Source organism: Homo sapiens, chromosome 5, assembly GCF_000001405.40.
Source record: "Homo sapiens chromosome 5, GRCh38.p14 Primary Assembly".
NCBI classification, from domain to species: domain Eukaryota; kingdom Metazoa; phylum Chordata; class Mammalia; order Primates; family Hominidae; genus Homo; species Homo sapiens.
This window is the reverse complement of record NC_000005.10, coordinates 14,883,752-14,893,313: the sequence shown is the minus strand read 5'-3', so window position 1 is coordinate 14,893,313 and position 9,562 is coordinate 14,883,752. Positions and strand designations below refer to the sequence as shown.

The following is a 9,562-nucleotide window of genomic DNA, read 5'->3' as shown; positions in this document are numbered from 1 at the left end:
CTCTGTTGCCTAGGCTGGAGTGCAGTGGTGTGATCTTGGCTCACTGCAACAGCCCCTCTCCCAGGTTCAAGAGATTCTCCTGCCTCAGCCTCCCGAGTAGCTGCGATTACAGGCACCTGCCACCACATACGGCTAATTTCTGTATTTTTAGTAGAGACAGGGTTTCACCATGTTGGCCAGGCTGGTCTTGAACTCCTGACCTCAGGGTATCACCATTATTTCATGAAAGGAAGGGTCACTTGACTCTCAAAAATGAATGAACATGATCTCATAGTTAAGGCAGTTCTTTAATTTAATACATTTAATTTTATGGGTTTTTTGTTTGTTGTTTGTTTGTTTGTTTGTTTTGAGATGGAGTCTCGCTCTGTCACCCAGGCTGGAGTGCAGTGGTGTGATCTCAGCTCACTGCAACCTCCATCTCCCGGGTTCAAGTGAGTCTCCTGCCTCAGCCTCCTGAGTAGCTGGGATTACAGGCATGCGCGACCATGCGCAGCTAGTTTTTGTATTTTTAGTAGAGATGGGGTTTCACCATGTTGGTCAGGCTGGTCTTGAATTCCCAACCTCAGGTGATCTGCCCGCCTGGGCCTCCCAAATTGTTGGGATTACAGCCGTGAGCCACCACGCCTGGCCAATTTTATGTTCTTATTTTCCTCACATCAAAGACTGTGAATCCTTGGTCCTAAGCTGGCACTGGACCGTGGACCAAAATTTAGGAACCATTGCTCTGGATATCAGGACAGTCAGCCAAAGCTGGCATTAGCCACTGACATTTTGCAGGTAATGGTGAACGCAAAATTCACGTTGGGTGCATTTCCTCATTCTGTCATTCCAAAGCAGTTAGGAAGAGTTGAGACAGTAGAAACGGATACTCCTGCATCCAAGGTTCAGCTCCTCCACCTGACACGGGTGTGACTCAAGTAGCTTAACCTCTCTAAGCTGCCATTGCCGTGTCTGCAAAATGGAGAGACAGCAAAAATTCATCACGATGTTAGGATTAAATGAGGATTAGTGAAGGGTCTTTGCTTCAACAAATTTATAACTATTGATATAACTGTTACTAGACCTGGAGTGTCTATGAATATGCCAGACATTCTCTAAGACCCCTGACTACAGGGTCTAGAGTCTCCTTTCTGCCTTCAAGGAGATTATGCTCTGAAGGAGACCCACAAAAGGGTGGCCAGATACAGGGAAGCCAGAGTTAGGATACAGGCAGATACTGGAGGCCAAGGAGATTATAGAGCAGCGGTCCCCAACCTTTTTGGCACCAGGGACCGGTTTCATGGAAGACAATTTTTCCGCAGATGGAGTAGGGGAGGTTGGTTTCAGGATAAAACTGTTCCACCTTGGATCATCAGGCATTAGTTAGATTCTCATAAGAAGCATGCAACCTGCGTCTCTTGCATCTGCAGTTCACAATAGGGTTTTCACTCCTATGAGAATCTAGTGCCACCACTATGTGAAGGAGGTAGAGCTCAGGCGGTCATGCTCACTTGCCTGCCACTCACCTCCTGCTAACAGGCCACAGACCAGTACAGGTCCACAACCCTGGGCACTGGGGGTCCCTGTTATAGAGGATTGAGAGTTAGGAAGAAAAAATAGAAAAGGAGAGGCCTCTCAGAGGAGGTGGAATCTAAGGAAAATCTTATAGGACATAAGACTAAAACAAAACAAAATTATCAATTAGGCTTTCAGATGAGAATCAGACGAAGTCATACTGCTATACCTAAAACATGTGGATGAAAGTCTGGCAGACTAAACTTCCTTCTGTAATCCTGGGTCACTGTGTTAACTGCTTGAAGAAATGGCTTTCCTCAAAGCAGTAATTTTCCTTTGCCTCCCTGGCTCCCTTCTATATGAGTTGCCCTAAGAAAATTCTTCTCTGTCAATTCTGACCTGAAGAAGATGAGGCCAGGAGAGGTGGCTCATGCCTATAATCCCAGCACGTTGGGAGGCTGAGGTAGATGGATCACTTGAGGTCAGGAGTTTGAGACCAGCCTGGCCAACATGGTGAAACCCCATCTTTACTAAAAATACAAAAGTTAACTGTGGTGGCGCATGTCTGTAGTCCTAGCTACTCAGGAGGCTGAGGTAGGAGAATCACTTGAACTTGGGAGGCAGAGGTTGCAGTGAGCCGAGATTGTGTCACTGCACTCCGGCCTGGGTGACACAGCGAGACTCTGTCTCAAGACAAAAAAAAAAAAAAAAAAAAAAAGAAGAAGAAGATGAGCTTTCAGTGAAAAAGGAGAGAGAAGTTGCAGCTGATAGCTTTCAAGAAATCCTGGGGGCGTAGAGTATTTGAATGACTGAATCCCGGGTGCTACCTCACTCCTGCCACTCACAGTGTGGTCCTCTGAGCTGCAATGTTGGCATCACCTGGGAATTTGCTAGAAATGCAGAATTTTGGGCCCTGGCCAACAATGGCTGAATTCAAGTCTGAATTTTAACAAGATCCCCAGGGGATTGGGAAATCCATTAGGGTTTGGGAAGCGCTGCCCCAGCCCAATTCTTGTGAAAAAAGTCAACAACTGGACGGGATATGATGGGCATCAGAGCCTTGGTACTGATTTGAAATTACTTTACCTTCATTTGATCGCATTCATTGCTCCTCTAGATGTCTTAAAGGATAATGATGGTGGAACGAGAGAAGGGCTCTCTGCCCTAGAGGTGTCTAACTTAAAATTGCCCTATATTATGTTACAAAAGAACAATGGAATTTAATAACATTTACTTGGACCTATGCCCATGATCTTAGTTATATTTCCAAACAACCTATAGTTTCTGGGGCTTTGTGTTTGTTTGTTTGCTTGTTTTATTTATTTATTTATTTATTATTTTACAGAGGAGCTCAGAGACATTAGGGGACCTGCTGGGCTCACACACAGTAGTCCAGGGCTCCTTCCTCAAGCCGAATAGCCCGCCATTCACCACAGCTGAGAAGATGGTACCACCTGCACCACTCGGATGGCCCATGGCCCAGCACCAATCAACCACATAACCTGTGGCTCCTATCTCCAGACCCTTCTTTTTCATTCCCGTTACCAGCAGCCTCGTTCAGTCCACAGTTCCTAAACTGCCAGACAGGCCTACTCCTTGCTGCTTCCAATTCTTTGCCCCTTAAATCCACTTCACACACAGCCTCCCGAAGCCCAGCTTGGGATTCCCCTCATGAACTAGCTCAGAGACATCAGAAGCCATCAACAGGGTCCCATCCCTCAGGCAAGGACTATGGGACTTATCCTTGTATTCCTCACAAGACTACTGGATGCCTTACGGAGGAGATAGGCTGAATACCAGGGGGTCTCAACGAACAGATGAGAAAAGCTACTACAGTCTCTGGGCAAGAGACAGAGGCAGCCAAAGAGGAAGGACTGCATACGTGGACTGGAAGCATCCTGGTGGAACAGAGGGCTCGAGCAGACTCACTGGCCAAAGATATGAGGAGCCAGACCACGGCTCCTGCTTCTTCCTGTAGCTGGGGAGCTCCAAGGATGAAAAACTAAATGCTGAAATGGCACCAGGAGGGAAGACAGGCATCCTGGCTCAGCACGGAAAGAAGGGAGACACTGACATTTGTGGAATCGTGTAGGCATTGTGCAAGGGGTTCCACATTTGGCACCTCTAATTTCCCAGGGACAGGACATTCTGAGGTCAGGATTAGGACTCAGTTACCACAGGTTGAGACTGAGGCTAGGTTAAGGATAATCGCCAAGGTCTTGCAGCCAGCCAGTCGTTGGTAAAGTCAGTTTCCACCCAGGTATGTCTGATCCACACATTCTCTTTCCACTCTGCTGTTGCACCACACACCTGCAAGGAGGGATGACAAAGTGAACCACCTCATTCTCTATCTCTCATTTGTTTTGCTAGACTACTTACACATGTGTATGATATTATCTTGAATGTGGTATTGTGTGCAAACCTTTAAGAAGTGGACATCAGAGGAAGACCACACCCAAACCTCTAATTCCTTCCCACGGCCTTCAGGGGTAACATGGTACAGCGGGTGGAATGGTGATCCACTATGGGTCACCCCAATAGTGATCCATAAATATATGTCCCCAAAATACGGTGACCCCAAAACATATATTCAAATCCTAAGCATCAAAACTTGTGAATATGATCTTATTTGGAAAATGGTGTTTGCAGACATAACTAATGATCTCAAAATGAGACCATCTGGTATTTAGAGTGGGCCCTAAATCCAATCACAGTGTCCTCATCAAAGAAAGGCAGAGACAGATTTAACACACAGAGAAGAAACCATATAAAGACAGAAGCAGAAAAGGGATTTACTTTGCCACAATCCAGGGAATGCCTGCAGCCACCAGATGCTGGAAGAAGCAAAGAAAGGTTCTCTCCTGGAGCCTTCGGAGTGAGCAGAGCCGTGCTGATTCCTTGACTCCAGACTTCAGACCTCCAGATGACGAGAACCTGAAATCCTGTTGTTTTAAGCCACCCAGGGTTTGGTAACTTGTTGTGGAAGCCCTAGGAAACGAATTTACACTGAAATTAAGAATCTTGGCAGGTGCAGTTGCTCACGCCTGTAATCCCAGCATTTTAGGAGGCAGAGGTGGGTGGTTCATTTGAGCTTAGGTGAGACCAGCCTGGGCAACAGGGCAAAACCCCATCTCTACCAAAAATACAAAAATTAGCATGTGCCTGTGGTCCCAGCTACTTGGGAGGGTGAGGTGGGAGGGCCACTTAAGCCCAGTAGGCAGAGGTTTCAGTGAGCCAAGATCACACCACTGCACTCCAGCCCAGGCAACAGAGGGAGACTCTGCTTCAAAAAAATTTAAAAAAAATATTTTGTTTTATAACCATCATCTAGAAATATGTATTGGCACCAATGGCCTATAAAACCTATTCTCAATCCATTTGGCTTTGGATTAGGAAACCCAGATTTGAAAATCTATGTTCGGATTATTGAGACATTTTAAGAACATACAGTCAGAAACTAAAATATAAAGTAGGGCAGTTCATTCGCTACCTTTATTTCCCTCAAAATAAGAAAATACCTTTTCATGCAAATATTTTGCAGTGAATAGATAGCATTGTTTAGGAATGAGGATTATTTGTGCTTTTCCTATCATAGCCTAATTAGCTTTTCTTTAATGTGCACTAAGCATACAAGAGACGAAATGAGAAAGAACAAACACGAAGAGCTTAGGTTTTACCCACAAATCTGTCTTGTAGCCTGCAGTCTGGCAGAAAAGCCTACAAATCTCCCACTACATTTTTTGGTGTAAAAAATGTTTATTTTCAGTCTTCTTTTCCTCTCTCTCTCTCTCTCATGCTAATAAGAAATTTTTTAAGCAATCATGAGCTAAAACCAAAGATAAGTAGTAAGGCAGGCTTCTAAATGCTCTCCATTATCCTCTCTCTGGCCTCATTTCGAATCATTCTCTGAAAATTCGGCAGGAATCTATCATCCTGCAAACAGAGGTGAAGTGGGCTAGGCTTCTTCCCTGGGGCACTGCTGCTGTTTACCTGGTAGAGGTGAGGTAAAAAGCCCAGGACTCTACAACTGGTAGTAAGAAGGGAAATGTGTGTCTCCAGAGTAGCCCTGGGCATGGACCTGGCAGCCTCTGACGTTAGAGAGCCTGGGTGTAAATCCTGGCTGTGTCACTTGACGATGTGAGCTCAGGCAACTTGCTGCATATTTTTTTTTCTTAATTGACTAGTAAAAATTGTATATATTTGGCCGGGCGCCATGGCTCATGCCTGTAATCCCAGCACTTTGGGAGGCTGAGGCCGGCGGATCACGAGGTCAGGAGATCGAGACCATCCTGGCTAACACAGTGAAACCCTGTCTCTACTAAAAATACAAAAAAATTAGCCAGGTGTGGTGGTAGGTGCCTGTAGTCCCAGCTACTCTGGAGGCTGAGGCAGGAGAATGGCTTGAACCCGGGAGGTGGAGCTTGCCGTGAGCCGAGATCACACCACTGCACTCCAGCCTGGGCGACAGAGCAAGACTTCATCTCAAAAAAAAAAGCAAATTGTATATATTTATGATGTACATTGATAAATGCATACGTTGTGGAATGCTAAATCACACTGTTTAACAATATGCATTACCAGGCCGGGCACAGTGGCTTGCGCCTGTAATCTCAGCACTTTGGGAGGCCAAGGCGGGCAGATCACTTGAGGCCAGGAGTTCAAGACCAGCCTGGACAACAAAATAAAACCCGGTTTCTACTAAAAATACAAAAATTAGCCAGGCATGGTGGTGCAAGCCTTTGGTCCCAGCTACTTGGGAGGCTGAGGCAGGAGAAGTGCTTGAACCCAGGAGGTCAAGGTTGCAGTGAGCCAAGATCATGCCACTGTACTCCAGCCTGGGCAACAGAGTGAGACTCTATCTCAAGTAAAAATATATATAGGCATTACCTCACATACTTACCTTTTCTGTGGAAAGAACATTTAAAATCTCTCTCTCTTTTTTTTTTTTTTGAGACAGAGTCTCACTGTCGCCCAGGCTGGAGTGCAGTGGTGCGATTTCGGCTCACTGCAACTTCTGCCTCCTGAGTTCAAGCAATTCTCCTGCCTCAGCCTCCTGAGTAGCTGGGACTACAGGCACACACCACCATGCCCAGCTGATTTTTTTGTATTTTTAGTAGAGATGGGTGTTTCACCATGCTAGCCAGGATGGTGTCGATCTCCTGACCTCATGATCCACCCACCTTGGCCTCCCAAAGTGCTGGGATTACAGACGTGAGCCACTGTGCCTGGCCCTAAAATCTACTCTCTTACATACTATATATGTTACTAACTGTAGTTACCGTGATGTACAATGGATTTGTTGAACTTACTCTTCCCATCCAAGTGAAGCTTTATGTCCTTTGACCAACATCTCCCTAGTCTTCCCCAAAATAGTAACCACCATTCTACTCTCTAGTTCTATGACTTTGACTTGTTTACATTTCACATATAAGTGAGATCATGTGGTATTTGTCTTTCTATGCTGGACTTATTTTACTTAACATAATATTCTCCATGTTCATCTATGTTGTAGCAAATGACAAGATTTTCTTCTTTTTTAAGGCTGAATGGTATTCCACGGTGTTTGTATACCATACCTCCCTTATTCATTCATCCATTGATGGACACTTTGGTTGATTTCATATCTCAGCTATTGTAAACAGTGCTGCAATGAACATGGGAGTGCAGACATCTCTTTGATATACTGATTATATTTCCTCTGGATAGATACCCGGTAGTGGGGATGCTGGATCATATGGTAGTTCTATTTTTAATTTTTTGAGGCGCCTCCATACTGTTTTCCATCCAGGCAAGTTACTTAAGTCTCTCTGAGTCTTGGCTTTCTACTCTGAAAAATGAGGAAAATGGCCGGGTGCGGTGGCTCATGCCTGTAATCCTAGCACTTTGGGAGGGCGAGGCGGGCAGATCACTTGAGGTCAGGAGTTCGAAACCAGCCTAGCCAACACGGTGAAACCCCGTCTCTACTAAAAATACAAAAAAAAAAAAATAGCCAGGCGTGCTGGTAGGCACTTGTAATCCCAGCTACTTGGGAGCCTGAGGCAGGAGAATTTGAACCCAGGAGGTGGAGGTTGCAGGGAGCTGAGATCACGCCACTATACTCCAGCCTGGGCAACAGAGAGAGACTCCATCTCAAAAAAAAAAAAAAAAAAGAGAAAGAAAAAGAAAGAAAGAAAAATGAGGAAAATAACAATGTCTACCACATAAGGTTTTGAGACTAATGAAATCCACATTGCTAAACCCTGTGGTCAATTCTCAGTACTCATGATACTGAGTTTATTAGTGCACTTGCTCCATTTGCTGTCAAAATAAGCACTCTCTTCTGGTTTCCTTCCCTCCTTCAACTCCCCTCAGCATCTGTCCCTTTCCTATGTGTGAAGCTTGGAGTACTGAGAAGTTGGTTCTTGGACCTCACATCTTCTCCCTCCTTTGTTGGTCATCCAGGCCTCTGACCTCAGGGACCACATTTCTGCTGATGGCTCCTAAATCTCAATCTCGAGCCTCCCCTCTGAGCTCCAGACTAGTTTAGGCACTCAGCTCTGTCTATGACATCTCTACCTGATGTCTACAGAGCAGCACAAAGGCAGTACATCCACTCCAAATGCTTGATTTCCATTTCCAGACCAGCTCCTCCCTCGGGCACTCATGTTAGGAAATGGTACCCCTAGTTTGAGCTCCAGCCAAAAACTTAGATGACTTCCCTGACTCTTCTCTTGCTCTCACACCACATTCAAGTCCATGAGCTATTTTGCCACCACTGTAACTTCAGAGAAGATCCCAAACCCACCATTTCTCACCTCCCCCAGTTTTAGCTCAAGCTTCATGCCATCACCATCTCTTCCCCAACTATTGGAGTAGCCTGTGAAGCAGTCTCCCTGCCTCCTCCCATCCCTTCCCCAGCCTCTTCTCCACCAAGCAGGCAGAGTGATTCCTTCAAAGACAATCTCAAAATATGTCCCTGCTCAACAATCTCCAGTGGCTTCTCCATTTCACTGGGATCCCTAGCTACCCCATGGCCTTCATCCCCTACCATGCATTGTGAAGCCCTTCCCAGGCTCAGGGCCTGTTGTTGACTGCCTGCAAAGCAGACAGATACCTACTCAACAGAGTGACCTCCCCTGGGACCCTCCAACCCCCTCTTTCCCATGCTCAGATTTATTTTCTCTCTTAGCACTCATCTCCTTGGCATTATGTATGTATTTGTTTGTTGTCTATCTCCCTACTAGAGTGCAAACTCCACAAGAGCAAGGACTTTGTTTTACTCATTGCTGTGCCCTTGGTACCTGGAATGTTGCTTGACACATTAGTAACTGCTGAACAATTGGATGAATGAATGAGGTAACCCACGTCAAGCACCCAGCATAGTATGGCACATAGCATATAAGTGATAAGTACTACCTGTTGCTGTGCTTGTTCTTATTTTTATTACTAATTATTATTTGTCCAGGAACTTTACACATCCTGCCTTTCGTCCTGGCCCTTCACCTGTTTTAGCTCTTTCACTGCCAAGCCCAATCTTCTCCACTGGGACTCTAAGAACAATAAGAAGAAAGAAATAGAGATTACTATGGCAAGAAAGAATGTCACTGGCTAGGCCTCCTACATTGTTACTGAGTCTGCTTCTGCCAGATACACATAAAACGTGGGGTGAATGTTGGACTCAATGGACGCCAGGATCTCCATCAAATGACCTGAATGTACTTTTGGGGCAGCCACAATTCAAATAATGTGTTCTGTGATCTTTTAATAGACCAGCCCAAACTTAAATATTTCTGCCTCCAATTACACCTCCCAGACTGACTCTAAAAAGTAGCAAAAATTGTACTTTTTGTTCAGAAAACACAATCAACCTTCTCTGTAATGACTATTATGCTGTTTTGGAGACTGAACACATTTAAATATATGAAATTTTGTGGGAAAAAGGTAAGCCCTGGGGAAATCAAGCCAAATAAACTTGCGCTGTTATTTGAATTGGAAACTGGGATACCAATAACTTGTTCTTGATCTACACAATTGTTGAGATTTGTGCTAAATATTCTTCATGGATTCACCAAAGAGAGGTGGGCACACA

At 45.1% G+C, this 9,562-nt stretch overlaps 1 long non-coding RNA gene across 1 annotated transcript; it reads right to left on the bottom strand.

Annotated features, from left to right (window-relative positions):
• Nucleotides 1-268: 268 nt before the first annotated feature.
• Nucleotides 269-4,482, bottom strand: LOC105374661 (uncharacterized). Its single transcript, XR_001742498.2, has 3 exons — nucleotides 4,291-4,482; nucleotides 3,670-3,804; nucleotides 269-951 (listed from the first exon to the last, which is right to left on the bottom strand). It is a non-coding gene; the product is annotated as an uncharacterized LOC105374661 (long non-coding RNA).
• Between the last annotated feature and the right edge of the window lie 5,080 nt (nucleotides 4,483-9,562).